Source organism: Homo sapiens, chromosome 9, assembly GCF_000001405.40.
Source record: "Homo sapiens chromosome 9, GRCh38.p14 Primary Assembly".
Taxonomy (NCBI): Eukaryota; Metazoa; Chordata; class Mammalia; order Primates; family Hominidae; genus Homo; species Homo sapiens.
Genome location: NC_000009.12, coordinates 84,275,071 through 84,294,590, shown reverse-complemented (window position 1 = coordinate 84,294,590; position 19,520 = coordinate 84,275,071). Strand labels below are relative to the sequence as shown.

Sequence of the window (19,520 nt, the reverse complement as noted above, 5' to 3'; positions counted from 1 at the left end):
TTTAGCACCAGGACAAGAATATTTTCTGACAGCCTTCAGTGTATTGATCTAGGTATTACAAATCCCCCCAAACTTCATTCCTTCTTTGAGCAAAAAAAGCTCACCATAGAAGACAGGGGAAAAAAGTCAAAGTCCTGTGACAAATTAGAATAAAAGACTGTAGATAGGGAAGCTGCCTGATTAAAGTTCAAGAGGAGTTTCCCATATTTTTATGATGTTTCAGAGGGAGAAAAGGAGACAGAGAGGAGGCCTGATATAAAACCTGCTGGTGCAGCTGGACCCATCATTAATCCATGTTTGTTTCTGTCCCCACAGGTCCTGCCGATCGTGGTTTTCTTCAGCACTGTGATGTCCATGCTGTACTACCTGGGACTGATGCAGTGGATTATTAGAAAGGTACTGGGGCTGGGAGGGACTGGGTTATAGGTGTAGAGCTGATTATCTCAGGCACGAAGTCCTCAAGGCCTTTTATGCAGGTATTTACGAAGTGCCTTTCTCTTCCTACCATTATCCACCATCACCACCTAAGTGATTAGATTCAAAACCTCCAATCCTAAATGTGTCCATGGAGGGAATTTTATCTCAGGAGCTTCTAATAGGGTTTTGATTTGCAAAGCACTGGATATCTTCATGAAACTATAGCAGTTACTTCTTTAGCGGAGGAATTGAGGTCAGATACTGCTGGGGGAAATGATGTTATTCCTTCATCTTGGTTAACCGCCCTGTGCTTATCTTTTTTTCTTTTTTAAGCTACTCCTTAATTGTATGCTACCTTGCTTAAGGAGGTTACAAAAGTAGACACTTCTGGTTTTGGAGGTGCTAGAGAAATTGAAGCAAAAAGGAGAAACAGCTTTTCACTCCTGAGGGAGTTTCATAAGCATGAGCGTGCATGCATACACACACACATACACACACACAGCTGAAGAGTTCATGTCCTTCCTGCTGCCCTAGCCTCAATGAGTCCTATGTTCATGTGTTAGATCAGAGGACAAGGAGCTCCGTCAGCTAATTTGGATGCACCACACACGAGCACAGAGCAGTGCAGGCAGTGCTTGGGGCACAGCCCCAGCCCTCCTTGATCCCAATAAATAAATCAAAATGTACAAAAAGGAAGAGAAGAGAGAGAGGGAACCAGAATACAGGTAGTAGCAGAGTTCAGAATGACAGCAAGAACTCCAGGGCCCATAATTTCCTGTTTAAACCCCAAAACATTCAGAATTGTTATGCTCTTGTCTAAACTAAAAAGCAAGGAGAGAGAATGCAACAGGAAGTCCTCATCCACCATCTCTAGTTGAAAGGCCAGTACAAAAGTGGAACCAAAAACCACGTTCATTTCAATTAAGTAAAAAAGACCAAACCTCAAATACATCCTGCTACATATGGGTGACCTTTGACAAAACAACTAAACTGTTCTGTGCTTTGGTTTCCTCTTTAATAAAATGAGTATAATTACATAGGACCTCTCTCAAAGAGTTATTGTAAGAATTAATTGCATTTTCTGGACTGTCAAGGGCTTAACACAGTGCCTGGAATGCAGTAAAGCCTTCCATAAGCATGTTAGCAATTGTCATTTATTACTTGTATACAATAGACCTATAGAAATTGATTTGTATAATGTTCAAAGTATACGCAATGACTCAGACTTACTACTCCAATAAGAGGATTTGCTTGGCCTGCTCTAGGGGCTCAATAAGTTAAACTTACCTTTAGCTCCATCATTAGCTTGCTGACAAATGTTGAAGCCCTCAATATTTTACACCAGTTTAAGGATTTTAATCCCTACTTTGAAGTTTTGGGTATACAAAAAGTTCTTTGCTGACTTTGTCCCTTTCTTCCTTTTAGGTTGGATGGATCATGCTAGTTACTACGGGATCATCTCCTATTGAATCTGTAGTTGCTTCTGGCAATATATTTGTTGGACAAGTAAGTTGTAATATCAACAGAACAAAACATCTGTTGAAATGGATCGTCTCTTTCCAAAAAGCCAAATAAGAAAATAACACAATGTTCTTTTAGTGTAGAGAAAATGGTGTCAAAATAAGAAACCCCCAGTATTGGCAATGTCCGGATTCCAGGGGGAGAAGAGAGAGAGACAGAGAGAGAGAGAGAGAGAGACAGAGAGAGAGACAGAGAGACAGAGAGACACAGAGAGAAATTCCTTTTAACAGTCTGGGTATGGTATGTAGAATTGGGTTCTTGAGAATGTTTATGAAGAGGATGGAAGGTTGTCATTTTATTAAGGCATAGACATAGAGCTTCTCATATAGATTCTCAATAAATCTGAATTTAGTGATTGTGAGGTTTCTGGTCAACTCTTCAGAGGCTGGTAGCTCTTCCACTTGAATGGATTTCACTATCTCGAAATCTCCAAGCTACAAACAGCCTCCCATTCTAAACTATAATGCCTGTGGCAATGGAGGAGACCAAGAAAGCCTTTCCACCAACAACCATGCAACTGCGTAAATACTTGAGCTTATTCTCAACTTGTCTGAACTGGCCAATATTCTGTCTTTGCTGAGCCTGAAGAAAAATGCTTTTAGGTTTTTCTCTTCTCATCAAAAATAAGCTTTTAGACTTCAATTTTCACCTCCCTGTTCCATCACATGGAGAAACGCTCTTTTGCCTGAAGCCCATTTAAGCAAATAAATATCATGCCAAGGAGTGTCCCTCAAAATAGCAGCATGGCTAAGGGGTGGATCAGTAAGAAATTGTAATAAGCCCCTCATCACTCCAGATATGCAGCTTCAGGCAGAATGGAGTCACACGCCACGAAAACCAGGTATGAACGCTTGCCAGCACCACTGCCCAAGGAAACTGAATTTGAAGCAAAAATCAAGTCACTCAGAAAAACACATAGCCCCAAATCCCAGGCTTACAACTGCTCCTGGCAGGCTGAAACTTCTTGTTGGTAAGCCAACAAGAAGCACGGGCCTCTACTCTAAAGACTATGCTTACGGCTGGGCGCAGTGGCTCACGCCTGTAATCCCAACACCTTGGGAGGCCAAGGCGGGCAGATCACCTGAGGTCGGGAGTTTGAGACCAGCCTGACCAACACGGAGAAACCCCGTCTCTACTAAAAACACAAAATTAGCTGGGCATGGTGGCGTATGCCTGGAATCCCAGCTACTCAGGAGGCTGAGGCAGGAGAATTGCTTGAACCCAGGAGGTGGAGGTTGCAGTGAGCCGAGATCATGCCATTGCACTCCAGCCTGGGCAACAAGAGCAAAACTCTGTCTCAAAAAAGAAAAAAAACCTATGCTTACTAGCCTGGAGCATAGTCTTTAGAGTGGGGGCCCATCCCATGCTTCCTTCCCTAGGAGTTGAAATTATTATAATTACAGTCATAAAATCTCTCAGGACTAATTAGGGCACCATCTTGAGTTGATTGCTCCTACCTGTGGGGTAAGAGGGCTCCCGCACAGGGTTCCTATTTAGTCGGTAAATCGAGGCTCCACACATTCAATCTTACAGAACAATTAGAGATAATAAGGAGAAAATTGTAAAATTGCACACAAGCTTCTGTGATGTTCAATTTGATACTTAATATGCTAAAAGTACAGCTATTATCTATGGAGAGCCCCATGCCGCAGGCTGCCTGTCCTCCTTAATGGGATTCAAGCCTTTACAACTACACTCTGTCTGCTTCTTCCTTTCCACCCATCAGAGAGGGGTCTCTGATTCTCAATTACAGAAGGGCCTGCGGGCACCTGTTCTTGTTATTGCTGAGGTTGTTTGTTTGTTTGTTTGTTTGTTTGTTTTTAATGCTTGTGTCTATTTCTCTGAGGTCAGGAAACAGGTTTAGGGTCTGTCAAGGTGAAGTTGGAAGACAGGAAGCCACAGTGGCTTAGAAATCACCCATCCAGAAGGTTAGGCCACTGCATAGAGTCAGTTGGCCCTTAGAAAAGTGCACCAAGACATCACAGAGTCCAGTCCTAGGCTGGGTGGAGGCCTTCTATGTCTAGCCTCACGAATTTTACAAAATTTATACATGACCACATATGGAAACTGATCTAGAGTTCAAATAACCCAGACGTCGATGGTGTGGGTTCTCAAATTTGAGCATGCATTGGAATCACCCGGAAAGCTTGTGAAAATACAGATTGGTAGCCCCCACCCTTGGAGTTTCTAATTTAGTAAATCGAAATAATTTGCATTTCTAACGAGTTTCCAGGTGACGCTGATGGAGCTGGTCTGAGGTTCACTCTTAGAAACTGTCTGCTTTAAAGAATAAAATTGTGAGTAGATTGGCATGCCTTCCCCTGCCCCCACACAGATTTAAAAAGGAATCTGGTCACCCTTCTTTGTCTCCAGACGGAGTCTCCACTGCTGGTCCGACCATATTTACCTTACATCACCAAGTCTGAACTCCACGCCATCATGACCGCCGGGTTCTCTACCATTGCTGGAAGCGTGCTAGGTGCATACATTTCTTTTGGGGTAAGAATGTTTTGGAATTATGAAAACACCAACCTCTTCTTTCTTTATTATTGTTATTTCTTTTCTTTTCCATTGCTGGTGGAAAAAGGAGGCCAAGAGAGTGTCTTTTTTTGCCATATGGCAAAAGTTGGTCACAGTTGCTTTGGCATTTGAACATAGGGATCCCAAGGAGTTTCAGGGCTTCATATACCTGCTGCCTAAATGTGAGTTCTATCTGCAGAATAAAAACAGAAAAATGCAATCATATGATAAAGTTGCTTTGGTTGAAAATTTAAATCTGTTAAAAAAAAAATTATTACATCAGTCAAGGTGATCTGGACTGGGAGTCAGTAAACTATGGCCCATGGGCCAAATCCCAATTGCTCCTGTTTTTGGAAATGAATTATTGGAAAGCAACTACTTCTATTCATTTGTCTCTGGCAGCTTTCATGCTACAGAGTTGAGTCGTTGTGATCCACAAAGACAACAATATTTATTCTCTGGCCCTTTACAGAAAAACTTTTCTGACCCCTGGTCTAGAGCAGTGATTCTCAAACCTTTCTGCACGTTAGAATCACCTGGGAGCTTTTAAATTCTCTAATGCCCAGGTCCATATCTCAGAGTAATTAAACTACAGTTCCTTGGGATGAGACCCAGCCATCAATATTTTTTAAAACTCTCAGATTCTAATGTACAGCCAAGTTTGAGAGTTGGCAGTCTGTAGTATAAGGCTAGAGAATGTTATAACTGGTGCGTGCACCCCGACCCATAGAGCTTACAAGCCACACATAGACACAGTCCCCAATATTGAAACTGAGTAACACAGCCCAGTCACTGTGTGACTCAGGAGACTAGGATTTCTTACAAAATAAGTGGGCTTCATTGTAGGTCTTCATCCAGGCCTCGGAGTGCCAATTAGTAGGAAGAGGCAAGAAGAAAGGAGCAAAGGACACCTGTGGAGCAGCTTGAGTGGATCATCTGGGGAATGCCATCCCCACTGTAGAAATGCTGCCTCAAAAATGTTCTGGGGGGAACAGGAACAGGGAGGGAGGTGTTGATCCTGGAATTCTGAAAATATGTGGAAGAGAATCCAGAAACCATGTGAGGGCAGGTAGGAAGGGGAACGAGTGGACCTGCAATAAAGAAAACAGAAGTCGTGTACAGATTAAAGGGCCACCAGATCAATGAAGATTGTGTAAAGGCACCAAGGACCTCAGGAGAGCAAAAGGAAGATGGAGAGAGGAGAATATACACATCTGCACATGAATCATGAGTCCCTTCTCCACTCCCCATCCCCTCCCCATCCCCTATCTAAAATGATGTAATGAGGCTGGGCATGGTGGCTCATGCCTGTAATCCCAGCACTTTGAGGGACCAAGGCAGGCAGATCACCTGAGGTTGGGAGTTCAAGACCAGCCTGGCCAACATGGTTGAAACCCCATCTCTACTAAAAGATACAAAAATTAGCTAGGTGTGGTGGTGGGCTCCTGTAATCCCAGCTACTCAAGAAGCTGAAGCAGGAGAATCGCTTGACCAGGGAGGCGGAGGTTGCAGGGAGCCAAGATCGCACCACTGCACTCCTGGGTGACGGAGCAAGACTCCATCTCAAAAAAAAAAAAGTTGTAATGACATACATGCTTTAGGGGCTCTCTGAACATTCAAAAGGGCAACAGAGAGGTAGAGGAATCTTCCTTGAAAGTTTCCACAACACAGGATTAATTCTTTTCTGAAACGATCAGATTTTGGTTTTATGCTTCTCCCCAGGGATGTGGTCAATTAGCACAAATGTCTCCCTTATCCCTCAGCCTCTCAAGGTGATGCCCGCGACTTGGCTCAATGAGCTAGAGTGGCTCTTCCAGACCTCCAAAGAAACATTGTCTTCTGGAATAGAAACAACCCCTGCCCTGTTTCTTCCCTTGCGGAGCTCTTGGACCCTTCCTCTGAACACAAGAAAAAAGCTAATCCCAGGTTTGCCTTCTTTCTTCTGAAATTGCAGGTTCCATCCTCCCACTTGTTAACAGCGTCAGTTATGTCAGCACCTGCGTCATTGGCTGCTGCTAAACTCTTTTGGCCTGAGACAGAAAAACCTAAAATAACCCTCAAGAATGCCATGAAAATGGAAAGTGGGTAAGTGTGACACATTCACCTAATTAATGACTACCCAAGCCGGGGCGGGGGACTCCAGGAGTCAATGTACAGCAAAAATTTGATAACCGGAAAGCACAGTGAATTACAATATTAAAGTTAGTCCAAAGACTATTTAGACTTCACAGAAAAAAGTCTTATTTTATTTCCTTTTTTTGAGTCTTGCTCAAAAAAGACTTTTTTAAAGTTGCTCTGTCACTCAAGCTGGAGTGCAGTGGTATGAACACAGCTCACTGCAGCCTCAACATCCCAGGCTCAAGTTATCCTCCCACCTCAGCCTCTTAAGTAGCTGATACTACAGGCATGCACCACCACTCTCAGCTAATTTTTTTTAGAAACAGGGTCTCACTATGTTGCCCAGGCTGATCTCCAGCTCCTGGGCTCAAGGGCTCCTCCTGCCTCAGCCTCCCAAAGTGCTGGGACCTGGCCAAAATCTTGTTTAATACTTGACATAAACCTCTCTAAATACCTAATGTCAATACATTTCCATATCTGTTTGTTGTAAAGATATTTCTTTATAAATATAGCAGAGTGTTTATGGAGCCTTGGTTTAGACAGAAAGCCATAGGATGACCATTTCTGGAGGTTCCTCCTATAAGAAAGCTGGTTCCTTTTCTTTTGCTCTGTGAAAAAGAAAAAAAAACAGAGTGGAAAAGACTAAGGGATTTAGGGTGTTCAAGAGTATTTCATTAAATAACAGAATTCATCAGCAACCAACATGTGTCTGAAATTCACCCATACTTGTATGTAGATAAAGTCAACCATGAGCGAAAAAGCAAGTTACCAAAGAATACAGCGTAATTCCACTTGTAAAGTTACTCAGTGTGCAGACTTGCACAATGTTGTTTTTTTGTTTGTTTGTTTGTTTGTTTTGACAGGGTCTCACTCTGTCACCCAGGCTGAGCTCAAGTGATCCTCCCACCTCAGCCCCTTGAGTAGCTAGGACTACAGGCACGCAGCACCACACCCAGCTAATTTTTGTACTTTTTGTAGCGACAGTATTTCACCATGTTGTCCAGACTGGTCTCAAACTCCTGGGCTCAAGCAATCTACCTGCCTCGGCTTCCCAAAGTGCTGGGATTATAGGGTGTGAGCCACTGCACCCGGACACACAATGTATTTTTTAGGGAATACAGACATGTAGGAAAACTGTATAGAAAGGGGATGATGAGTGAATTTCAGGAAGACAGATACCTCTGAGATTAGAGGGGAGGATGAGATCAAAGAAGAGTACACAGGGGGATTCAAAGTGATGGTGGCACTCCATTTTTAAATGAGGTGATGGATTTACAGGCTTCCTTGGATCATTGGTTTGTTGTTGGTTTTGAATCATTAGCTTTTATACCATTTGTATTTTATAACTATTCTCTGGCAGCTACTTGTAATAAAAATAATTTTTAAACTTGTAATTTTTTATCATTTTCCAATTTTTTATTATAAATGTCCCCAAATTTAAAAAGTAATGTAAGTTACCCAGAGACTCTGGAGGCTAAGATAAGAGGATCGCTTAAGCCCAGAAGTTCAAGACCAGCCTGTGCCATGTAGCATGACCCCGTCTCTTAAAAAAAAAAAAAAAAAAAAAAAGCCAAGCATGGTGGCACACATGCTATTCAGGAGGCTGAGGAAGGAGGATCACTTGGGCCCAGGAGTTGGAGGCTCCAATAAGCTATGATCACACCACTTTACTCCAGCCTGAGACACAGAACAAGACCCTATCTCTTTAAAAACAAGAACAAACATGGTTAAATACTCATATGCCCACTTCATGATGTCATGGGATTCAGGTGAGTATTTTGAGCAAGGCAGGGGCCTTAGAGTTTGTCTCTTATCTAAGCTCTGATTATGCTACTTCTGCACCAATGGTGTCCATCCCCTGACAACTCCTTGGTAATTCTGGAATTGCTATTTCTTGATAAAGTGATTCAGGGAATCTTCTAGAAGCTGCAACACAGGGAGCATCCTCCTCCATCTCCCTGGTGGCCAACATCGCTGTGAATCTGATTGCCTTCCTGGCCCTGCTGTCTTTTATGAATTCAGCCCTGTCCTGGTTTGGAAACATGTTTGACTACCCACAGCTGAGTTTTGAGGTATAATCACATCACGCCCCTGCCCTCTGTTTTGTTTCTGCCTATCTTTGTTTAAAAATAAAATAGGTTTGTAAACAGCCCACCCTAACCTCAGTAGACTCTTCCACACCGTAGAAGCTTCTCATGCATCCCCCAACTTCCCACCCACCTTTTCTCTGTCTCCTATCCCCCTCCTTCCCCACAACGACAGTCAGTCTCTCCTGGCCCCTTCCCCAAGAATCCAGCTTCCTTCAAATGACCGATTTCTAGCCCTGATTCCTGATGGGTAAAGATGGGCAAGGGAAGAAGGAATTTCTTTGCCTAAAGGAGACAGAGGGGTCAGGAACAGTGTTGTCACTGAGGAGGCAAAACTGAAAGCAAATCACTATTCTAATCAAGTGTCTACTTTTGGTTTCTGTAGCTAATCTGCTCCTACATCTTCATGCCCTTTTCCTTCATGATGGGAGTGGAATGGCAGGACAGCTTTATGGTTGCCAGACTCATAGGTTATAAGACCTTCTTCAATGAATTTGTGGCTTATGAGCACCTCTCAAAATGGATCCACTTGAGGAAAGAAGGTGGACCCAAATTTGTAAACGGTGTGCAGCAATATATATCAGTGAGTAAATATTTTAATTTCTCAGTACATTTCTTCATCACATACCTGCATTCGTCTATTACTTATGCCTCTGTGTGTCAAGCACTATGCCAGGCACCTGGGATAGATTAGAGAGCAAAACAACCTAAAATCCATTGCTCATGGAGCTTATAATGTACATAGCACTTCCTAACTTTCAGTTATGTTGAATTAGAGTGTGCGTGTGTGTGTAGACACAGCTAATCATTGCCACTATAATCATCTACTTTTGAGGACTGTGGACACAGACCCAGAGTCACATGAGCTGGGACTGCAATCAATCAACCAAAATTTTTTGAATGCCTTTTATGTGCAATGCGCTGAGTACTGAGGCCATAGCAAGTCATGGGGCCCCTGGCCTCATAGTCTAGTGGCTAACAGTCTAGTGATCTTAAAGCACTCTCCCTTTGAACTTAATGGATTCTGTGAGCTCTGAGAAACTGTCCAAAAGTAACATGCCTGGACATCCTCGAGAGTTAGTGTAGCATCATCACTGCTCTCCACGTGGATGAGGGAGAGAAAAGGCTCAGAGTCTGTGATCTGAAAGCCTTGAGACAAGCACCCATAATTATGTCAGGACTTCAGGTCAATAGCTTGCAAGGAGGCATTCACATCTGCCTGGCCTTTGGTGGGATGAGGAACTCAGGTGAGGTCATGTTTGTAGTTGAGTTTGCAACTTTCTTCCCTGGAGAACAGAATTGTCACACTGGAAACTCTTAAGGAAATGATGAACATTCCTGAGCACCCCTAGTACTCATTGAAACAATCCATTTGGAATTAATGTTCCAGGCATGTATTTGGTTTAAAAATGAAAGGGGAGGAAAAGCAGCCTGCCTAAGGTTCTGAGTCTGCTCACCCACAAACAACACTACCATCCTTCCCAGCTTCCCAAAGAACAAGCCTGCAGATTTACTCCCACATAGCACATCAATATAACAGCCCACTCCTGGGGAGCACTGATTTATATTTTACAGCTGGGGCATTTTGACCCAACACATCTGACATGAGCAGGGACTCTGTAGATTTCCCTGTTCTCGCATGTTCATTCTTCAACTAACCTCCCAGTAAAGCTTGGCCAATTATCCTCATTGTTTAGATGCCACCAAAACCAGTTTGTTTCCCTGCCAAAAGTAAACAATAGGCTAAATTAAGTGAAATGTTTTCTATCCCCAATTGCCAGTTGCCAGGAGAGAATCGTTTTGTTAATGAGCAAACCGGGCTCTGCGTTCTGGCAGCACGAAGCAATTTTGTGGAAAGGTTATTACGAGGGTAGAGACAGAACAGTAGAGCTGATTGAGTTTAGGGGTGAGCCCAACCAAAGGCAGGCACAGAGAGAACATTTGGTAACAGGAGCTCAGTGGCCTCTGCTATTGTTGAATCATGATGGGAAAGGCATTTTGTTTCTCCAAATTTCTAATTTGCAATCAACAAAATGCAGATGAGTCCCAGCAATTTTTGCTCACAACCTAGAAGTGGAGAAGGGCATCCCAACAGTCTCCTGGAAAAGGTGCCACAGAACAGAACGTACCATGTGGGTCCGTGAGGCAAAACCCCAGTGATATCCACTGAATTATGCCCATGCCAACCTCCATCTGAGATAAGAGGGAGAGTACTATGCAGCCCCCATGCCCCTAGTATGAGCCCCTTATTGCATCACTTTCTCTTTCCTAAAGATAATACTTTGCCTGTTTTTATTCATTTGTTTACATGTAACACATACCATAGTATAGAATTCAAAAGGTCCAAAAAAAGATAAAGGAAAAAGTAAGGCATCCTTCTTATTTCTCTGGACCTCTTCTCCCTGGAACGTATACTCACTGTTTTTAACCTTGTCCTTTGCACTTAATAATGTGTCTCAGGTACCTTTCCACATCAGTGCCTGTGACATAGTATTCTATTGTATAGCACACCGTAATTCATCTTAACCAGTCCCATGCTGATAAGCAGTTATCTGTTTTTTCACTATCAGAGATAGATAGTGTTAAAATGACCATCCTGTACGTATGGCATCTTTGCCTGTGCAGACACAAGGAGAGCTGTGAGGTGTGTTATTAATATTTTTCTAGTACGGTGCATCTCTTTTCATCACATCATCTTGCACATTTGTGGGCAAAGTCAACCTGGAATTATCCCAGACTCCTTTTTCTCTTCTAAAACCCATCATGGCCACATCTGTGTATCCCCTTCTCAGTTATCCCTGGAAAGGGGAAAGAGGAGTTTGAAGCTCCTTATGTCATCTTTCTCCCCACAATCTCTTAATAAGCATGCCTGGTTTTGAAGCCAGCTGAACTGAACTAAATGAAAAGCACTAGAATAAAAGTGGGGAACAAGGACAGCTTTTCCAGGAAGGGTAGACTGCATACCTACTTGAAATATTTTTTTCCTGTCAGCTATATGCGCGCTGATGGAAAATATCAACAAAGGAGAGTTCTCAGAAACCATGAGAGAGAAGAGGGGCCTTGGAATCAACAAAAATCTTACCATGGCCACTTGAGTCTTGAATGAGTGTAGCATTGCTCGGTTTGTTCTTTGAACAAAATCATAGGGTTTTGAGAATATTGGAAAAGTATTGCTTCAGTCACGTGGGTACCTTTGTCAGACTGGGTGTGCCTCTGGTGAACAACAGAGTACACGGAATCTTCTGAGCTTCCTATAGTCAGTCCTCAAACTGAGGAAAAATTGTCTGGCCTAAGCAGCATCTCTTGAGTCACAGGGCCACGCCCTTGCTTTCACGAATTCATCTTCCATCCTCTGACTGCCCCGTGAAAGGGATGTTCCTTCTCCTACCTCCAACTGGGCATCCTAACTTTCCCACGGAGTGGTCAGAGTTGTGGTACACACACCATGGCCAGACTATAAGGAAGCTCCTGTGATAGCTGAGAATTTCATTTTTACTAACATAATTATTTTTAAATTATATCCTTTTCACTGAATTATAATTTATATACCAACTTAAGGGCTCAGTTTTGATGTCACCTGTGTAACCACAACTATAATCGACATATAGACTATCATCTCTGTCACACCTTTAAAAAAAAAAAAGGTTTTCCTCATGGCCATTTGTAGTCAACAACCCCACTCCCATCCCCATCCGAAGACCTAGTCCCAGGCAACCAATAGCCAGTCTTTCACTGTAAATTATGTTTGCATATTCTAGAATTTCTTTTATTTTTATTATTATTTTTGAAATGGAGTCTCACTCTGTCGCCCAGGCTGTAGGGCAACGGTGCGATCTCAGCTCACTGCAACCTCTGCCTCCCGGGTTCAAGTGATTCTCCTGCCTCAGCCTCCCGAGTAGCTGGGATTACAGGCACACACCATCATGCCTGGCTAATGTTTTTTTTGTTTGTTTTTTGTATTTTTAGTAGAGGCAGTGTTTCACCATGTTGGCCAGGATGGTCTTGAACTCCTCACCTCAAGTGATCTACCCGCCTCGGCCTCCCAAAGTGCTGGGATTACAGGCGTGAGCCACCGCACCCAGCCCTAGAATTTCATATACATGTGCTCACTTAGCATTCATGTTTTTGCATGTATTTCCTTTTTATTGCAAAGCAGCATTTCATTTTTATGGGTATCCACAATTGTTTATCCATTTGCCTACTGAATGACATTCAAGTTGTTTCCAGCATGAGGCTATTTAATAAAGCTGCCATATATATTTATGTACAATCTTTTTGTGGCATGTGTTTTTGTTTCTCCTAGAAAAATTGCTGGGTCATTCAGGCAGAGCAAGTAAACTTAAGAAGAAACTTCCATACTGTTTCACAAACAGACTGTGTCATTTTACAGTCCCACCAGCAGTGTATAAAACTTCTAGTCACTTCACATCCTTGTCAACACTTTGTATTTTTTAATTTTAGTGGAGGCATAGTAGTATCTCATTGTGGCTTTATTTTGCATTTCCCTGGTGATCAATGATGTTGAACATCTTTTCATGTACTTTTTTGTTATTTGCATAGCTTTTGTGAAGTATTCAAATCTCCATCCATTTTTCCTTGGCTGTTGGTCATCTTATTGAGTTATAACAGTTTTTTATATAGTCTGAATAAGTCCTTTTTCAAGTAAATGTAATGTGAATATTTTCTGGGACCAATTTTTTATCTCCAGCAACTAGTCCTGTCCCTGGCACACTGTAGCAGATGGCCAGGTCATATGGAATATTAGAAGGTATTATTGACCAGGAAGCAGCATTTGTAGAAGCCAAGGCTACCAATCATAAGCCCTTTGTAGAGAGTCACTGAGTCCACACAGCCCCCTTCCATCTTCCCACAAAATTCAAGTGGAGATGGTAAAAGAGGTCTAGGGAGTAATGGGTATTTGATACCATGGACTGTGCATTTATTTGTCAATATTGAATTTATGGTCAAAATGAAGCCCAGTTGGATGTCAGATTTGTTAAGCCAGCTCAGATTGTGTATACATATGTGTTTATGCTTGCTTACAGATTCGTTCTGAGATAATCGCCACTTACGCTCTCTGTGGTTTTGCCAATATCGGGTCCCTAGGAATCGTGATCGGCGGACTCAGTAAGTGAAAAGAACATTCTTCAACAACACAGATGTGCCATAGACATACTTGGATCCCCATTTTGCTCTGTACTGTTATGTCAGAAAAAACAAAGGCCTTTGCAACAGTCATGAGTCCTCTGGGGTCTATTTTTTTAATCTCTAGTCTGCAATATAGTTTTCCCTTGCACACCCAAACTGACCTCAGGAAAAATTTTCTCAAACATACAGATGCTTCTCCCAGCCCAGGGGTGACCTGTAGGCTTCACCTTACATGCCAATGCCAATAGGTTTATGATGGGCACCTGGAGAAGGATTCTGAGAGCCATTGGAAGTCCAGTGGAAGAATGCTGTGATTTCTTAGTGGTGTCTGCCACGGGCATAGAAGTAGATGGTGACAGTTGAGTTGCACATCATCTCCTTAGTCTATGCCTCCTGCCACTCTTTTGCCTTGCCATGACCTCAATAAATAGCCCTTTGGATGAAACTTAGGAGGTTTTTCTTCTGTGGAGAATGAGCCTTTGAGCCTTTTGGCAAACAAGCCTCTTCCCTTCTTCCCACAGCAGAGAATTTCTCTGTATGTGGAGTTTATTACTAAGTTCTTGAATCTTGAATTTCCCAGCTAAGTTAAAGAAAAAAAAAAAAAAGTCAGCTGACCTGAGCCCAGCCTCAGAACAATTTTCAGAGGCTAAGAGTTTTAATCAGTACTTCAACATTGATCTCACATCCCTCCTTCCATGTTTCCCAGCATCCATGGCTCCTTCCAGAAAGCGTGATATCGCCTCGGGGGCAGTGAGAGCTCTGATTGCGGGGACCGTGGCCTGCTTCATGACAGCCTGCATCGCAGGTACCGCACCCTGTCCTTTGTGTCCCAGTGCCCACAGGATGAATGGCAGCTTTCAGGACAGGCAGTGCCTCCAGCTTGCATGTGCAGCACACGCTGCCACAGAAAGCTGAGAGTTAGAGCTGCTCTTAAGCATACTGTAAAGTTAAATGTGTGCAGTGTGGTGGAGGAGCTAAGAACAGAATGAGGGTTCAGTGACTTCCTTAATTAATAAAATAAATGGGGCCGGGTGCAGTGGCTTACGCCTGTAATCCCAGCACACTGGGAGGCCAAGGCGGGCGGGTCACCTGATGTCAGGAGTTTGAGACCAGCTGTCAGGAGTTTGAGACCAGCCTGACCAACGTGGCGAAACCGCATCTCTACTAAAAATACAAAAATTAGCTGGGTGCGTGCCTGTAATCCCAGCTACTTGGGAGGCTGAGGCACTTGAATCGCTTGAACCCGGGAGGCAGAGGTTGCAGTGAGCAGAGATCATGCCACTACACTCTAGCCTGGGCAAAAGCGCAAGACTCTGTCTCTAAATAAATAAATATATAAATACATAAATAAAACTAAAAAATAATAAATAAATGGGACTCTGTTCCACTTCTAGGCATACTCTCCAGCACTCCTGTGGACATCAACTGCCATCACGTTTTAGAGAATGCCTTCAACTCCACTTTCCCTGGAAACACAACCAAGGTGATAGCTTGTTGCCAAAGTCTGTTGAGCAGGTATTGTATTCTTGATTATAATTTCTTTATACTCCATTAATAATCAATCAAATCACACCTAAATATCCACTTACTTTTTTTTTTTTTTTTTTGAGACGGAGTCTTGCTCTGTCTCCCAGGCTGGAGTGCAGTGGCGCAATCTCCGCTCACTCATCGACTTAATTTTATAACTTTATGACTCTATTTAAAAGTAAGAACTTATGCAGTGATTCTAACCACCTTTCACTCTGACTTTTCTCAGATAAGGCTAGCAACTATAACACTAGCTAGTGCTACTCAAGCATTTAATATGCACCCAGCTGTGTGTTACGCACTTTGTATGAATTAGCTCACTTAAACCTTGCAACTACTGTATAAGTTGGGCACTATCTTTTTTTTTTTTTTTTCATTCCACAAAATTAAGGCTTAGGGAAGCTATGTCTACTCCAGCAAAATTAGCACAAGTACAAGTGAGATACAAAATTCAGGCTGATCTTCCTGCTAAGCCTATGCCCTTAACTGCTACCCTCTGCTGGCTCCCCTTCAAGGGGATCCAGGCTGTCCAGACAACACGATGATCGTCTATGGTGAACAAGAAACTACCAGTGACCCATGCCAGCCACCCCCACCCTGTACAGTTTTAATTTGCAAAATCAGTGTTCCCACACAAGGTGCCATCCTTAATGTGCAAGTGTTTTATAAGGATTGATTCTATCCTATCTTTGCTTGTTATGGAGGAAATAGGGAAAGTTCTTGAGGACACCCAGAATTTAGGAGCCAAAACAAATTCCCCAGTGTCTCTGTCCTTTAATCCACCCTAACCAGAATGTGAGCAAGAAAATCAGCTTCCTGCCCTGAACTATTTTTAATGTCATTGTCTGCTCACCTACTGTTTCTGCCATCTATGGCTCATGTAACTGTTTCTTTCCACTTTCCACCAGCACTGTTGCCAAGGGTCCTGGTGAAGTCATCCCAGGAGGAAACCACAGTCTGTATTCTTTGAAGGGCTGCTGCACATTGTTGAATCCATCGACCTTTAACTGCAATGGGATCTCTAATACATTTTGAGGTCAGCCACTTCTCCAGTGGAACTCTGAAGTACAGATGCTGAATTTTCTGCTTTGGAAAGAAAAAAAAAAGAAGCTATTGTCCACAGATTGATGCTTCCATAATGGAATCAGCTTTAATTGCAAGGAATGAAGAAAAACAAGAGTGGACCTTCAAAGCTACAACATTTTCCTCCTCCCCTCCCTCCCCACCAGCCCCTTCCCCACCAAGAACTGCTATGATGTCCCAAAGTGAGGTGTTGTTGATTCCAGTCTCAATGGGATTTTCTGACTTTAATGTTTGCAAGGCATTTCACCAGAATACAGCTATAAACGGCCGCTCCCAACAACTGGGCTCTGACTCACCCACACCCACTTAGTGTCCACTAAGTAGTCCAGGGTGACTCAGTTTAAGCACATCTCAGGTGAGGTCACTCTGCATATACCTTGGCTTACCTGAAATAGCCTGAACTTGAATCTCACATAAGGGAAAACTAGTCATCAATCACCAACTCATTGACTACCCTCAGGAAGTCCTGCAGAAATCAAGAGTCCTTGAGGAGAACACGTGGATCATACCAAAACCAGGGTTTAAATCCATTCTGCTTAAGAGTTCTATCAGTCAGTTTAACCATAAATTACGCTACAGAAACAAACAACCCAAAAACCTCAGTGGCTTACAGATTTATTTTTCACTCACATGTTTGTAATGATCCATCTTGGTTGTAATCCATATTGCTTCAGCACCCAGTCTAAAGGAGCAGCCTCTAAGGGGGGCATGTTGGTCTTAAGAGGGAAAAGAAAGGTGGGAACCACATGATGGCTCTTTCATCTTCCGCTAGGAAATGATACCCTTTACTTCCATGACATTCCATTAGCCAAAACAAGTCCTGTGACAGGCACGATGTCAGTCACCACAGTTAAATTATCCTGTCATAGGGAGGGATAGTGAATATTTTGCAGAAGTAATATGATACACCATAAGGGTACATAATATCCATGTCTCCCTTCAAGGAGCCATCCTGTTGTAGGCCATAACGGTAGGCCTATTCATCTGCACATTTGGTAATGTATTCCTGGTGACAAAGCAGCTACTCTTCAATCAAAAGCCGTGTAAGAAGCAGTTGAGGAAAAAAAGTCCTGGTTGAGCTCTGAAAACCTTGCGTTGATAATTTCATTGACCAGGATGGCATCAGTATCAAACTTGAAGAATGGGTGTCAGTGTCTAAGAAAAAGATTCCAGAGACAATGGTGGTGTGCTCTTTAACGAAATGCCCATCACCACTGCTCTTAATAGCATGAAGACCACATGCTGTGAGAAAACACAAACATCAATTACCAAGTCAAGAAACAGACACTGAATGTGAAAAAGGTTTTGAAATACCTTAAGTAATTTATTTTGTTTCTATTTTTCCTTCTGTTTGTGTACAAGAGTAATTTAAAAGAAAAAGCTATGTGAAAATAGTTGGGGTTTTTTGTGTGTTTTGTTTTTTGTGGTGGTGAAGGAGGAGGCCTAATGTCCAGAGGACTGTTTATCCCTGAAGTATGATATACTAAAATATTTCTTATTATTTGTATCAATTTTCCTTGGAGCTCAATGTGCCCTTGCAGTCTTCAGACTTTATTTTAGGAAAATATATTTGCATGTTTTCCCCCCATTCTCAATGTTTGGTGTCCTGGTTCATCATACCCCACAGAATGTTATGTTTATGTATCATACCATTCCTCTGTGGACATGCATTTACTTTGTTTACAGGTTTTGGTTTGGGGGTTCTCTTTTTCCTACTCTGGACAGTGCATGTACATTTACTTTGCATGCTGGTGCTTTTTTTTCTATAGCAATAGTGTCTGATAGACATATGCAAGTCACATGTAATTTAAGATCTAGTAGCCACGCTAAAAAACAAGTAAAATTAATTTTAATATATTTAACTCAATACATTGGAGATATTATTTCAGTAAGATATTTTTCATTCTTATGAAACTAAGTCTGTCTGGTTTGCATATCTCAGTTGAGACACTAAAGTTTTACTGATAATACTTAATCCATGTTTAGATTTCATAAAATCTAAATTTGCAAAGTAAATTTACATACCCATGTTGGTCTAAATGTGCTTAAAAGTTTTCCAATAACTGAAATGAGTATCAGTTTTAAATTTAAAAATTTGTTACTTGGTTACTCCATATTTCAGGTATTAGTGGCTACCATATTGGTCAGAGCAGATTCATAGGATGATTTCCCAGGTTTGAAGTGTGTGTATATTTCTGGTATTATAAGATGTCAGACTGGTTTTTGGAGAAATATGTTGTCTTAATTTTTACCTGCTTTGATATGACCTTTCTGTGTGTACGTGTGACATTTCTTTATAAATGCAACATGTTCACATAGGTCCTACGTTGATTCCTTATTAATGCTGTGCATCCTTGAACTGAGAAAGGGGGTGTTATTCCTGAGCTATATTATAAGAGGATAGTAAAGGCCAAGGACCAGGAAAATGAGCTGGTTAAGCCTCTTGAGCTTGTTACCCCCAGAAACCTCACCAATACCCTGTGAACGTCGTAAGTGGCCCTTCTCCCAGTGAAACAACCTAATGGAGGTTTTTGGTGCATGGTGATGTTTTTATTCCTCTTTAGTAGACATAGAAGCTGGAGGCTGCTTGTCTTCCCCAGTTTCTCCTTCACCCATGTACATATAGTGGGCAAAGATGGCATGCCTATGTTTTTCAGCTGTTTGAGCCCGCTCACTGTTGACAGATTGTTGCTGTTGGTCTGTGCTCCCCAACCTTGCCTCAAGCCAGGGCTGCAACATCTCCCTGGGAGAACTCCGTACTCTGTCCAGTCCACCCATGAAATCCAAAGCCCCTAGCCGCCTGTGTCTTCCCACTGGTAGTTTTCGCTAACCTGAAAGCCCCTTTTGGTATACAGTATTATGGTTCCAGATATGAGTGTTTCCTCATTTCAATGAAGATGGAAGTTTACTGCTGCTTATTCTCCGTGTTGTTTTCTATTGGTTTGCAAAAAACAGGGAGAGGGGCAGAAATGATATTTCTCTTCGCAATCCAGAAACTGGTTATAAACAAATTCTCTGACCCTGGAGAGGCCTTAGGGTCTCAGCCAAAAATAGATTTGAGTCATGGGATACACAGCATTGTCTGATTTTTTTTTCTTC

The 19,520-nt window shown here is 42.4% G+C and overlaps 1 protein-coding gene and 1 long non-coding RNA gene across 11 annotated transcripts in view, besides 4 other annotated features; one reads left to right on the top strand and one right to left on the bottom strand.

Moving 5' to 3' along the window:
• SLC28A3 (solute carrier family 28 member 3) overlaps nt 1–19,134 on the top strand; it is a 93,271-nt gene extending 74,137 nt beyond the window's left edge. For 7 of the 10 annotated variants that reach the window (NR_037638.3, XM_011518907.3, NM_022127.3 and 4 more), the window contains 10 exons: nt 316–396; nt 1,843–1,923; nt 4,312–4,437; nt 6,413–6,543; nt 8,480–8,648; nt 9,049–9,246; nt 13,709–13,790; nt 14,518–14,616; nt 15,206–15,326; nt 16,247–19,134. Coding sequence is in view for 9 of the 10 variants with exons in the window: in XM_011518907.3 (XP_011517209.1) it covers nt 316–396; nt 1,843–1,923; nt 4,312–4,437; nt 6,413–6,543; nt 8,480–8,648; nt 9,049–9,246; nt 13,709–13,790; nt 14,518–14,616; nt 15,206–15,326; nt 16,247–16,373 (1,215 nt within the window). In the remaining variant the exon portion in view is untranslated. Of the gene's footprint in view, nt 1–315; nt 397–1,842; nt 1,924–4,171; nt 4,438–6,412; nt 6,544–8,479; nt 8,649–9,048; nt 9,247–13,708; nt 13,791–14,517; nt 14,617–15,205; nt 15,327–16,246 lie in introns of those variants that run through there. The other 3 variants (XM_047423712.1, XM_011518910.3, XM_011518909.3) reach the window with 3 other exon arrangements.
• Nucleotides 667–746: an enhancer, noted in NCBI's record as "active region_28503". NCBI's record gives its function as "activates an Ori minimal core promoter by ATAC-STARR-seq in GM12878 lymphoblastoid cells {active_cell/tissue: GM12878}" and the evidence as "EXISTENCE:reporter gene assay evidence [ECO:0000049][PMID:35858748]".
• Nucleotides 1,137–1,196: an enhancer, noted in NCBI's record as "active region_28502". NCBI's record gives its function as "activates an Ori minimal core promoter by ATAC-STARR-seq in GM12878 lymphoblastoid cells {active_cell/tissue: GM12878}" and the evidence as "EXISTENCE:reporter gene assay evidence [ECO:0000049][PMID:35858748]".
• SLC28A3-AS1 (SLC28A3 regulatory antisense RNA 1) lies at nt 4,455–16,421 on the bottom strand. The gene is made up of 2 exons (XR_001746802.1): nt 16,192–16,421; nt 4,455–4,651 (listed from the first exon to the last, which is right to left on the bottom strand). It is a non-coding gene; the product is annotated as an SLC28A3 regulatory antisense RNA 1 (long non-coding RNA).
• Nucleotides 16,004–17,203: an enhancer, noted in NCBI's record as "P300/CBP strongly-dependent group 1 enhancer chr9:86892303-86893502 (GRCh37/hg19 assembly coordinates)". NCBI's record gives its function as "activates an origin of replication core promoter dependent on BRD2, BRD4, P300/CBP, MED14 and CDK7 cofactors, with strong dependence on P300/CBP, by STARR-seq in HCT116 cells {active_cell/tissue: HCT116}" and the evidence as "EXISTENCE:reporter gene assay evidence [ECO:0000049][PMID:35650434]".
• Nucleotides 17,336–17,887: an enhancer, noted in NCBI's record as "NANOG hESC enhancer chr9:86891619-86892170 (GRCh37/hg19 assembly coordinates)". NCBI's record gives its function as "activates a minimal SCP1, AML or CMV promoter by ChIP-STARR-seq in primed H9 embryonic stem cells {active_cell/tissue: H9 hESC(primed)}" and the evidence as "EXISTENCE:reporter gene assay evidence [ECO:0000049][PMID:30033119]".
• Nucleotides 19,135–19,520: the final 386 nt, after the last annotated feature.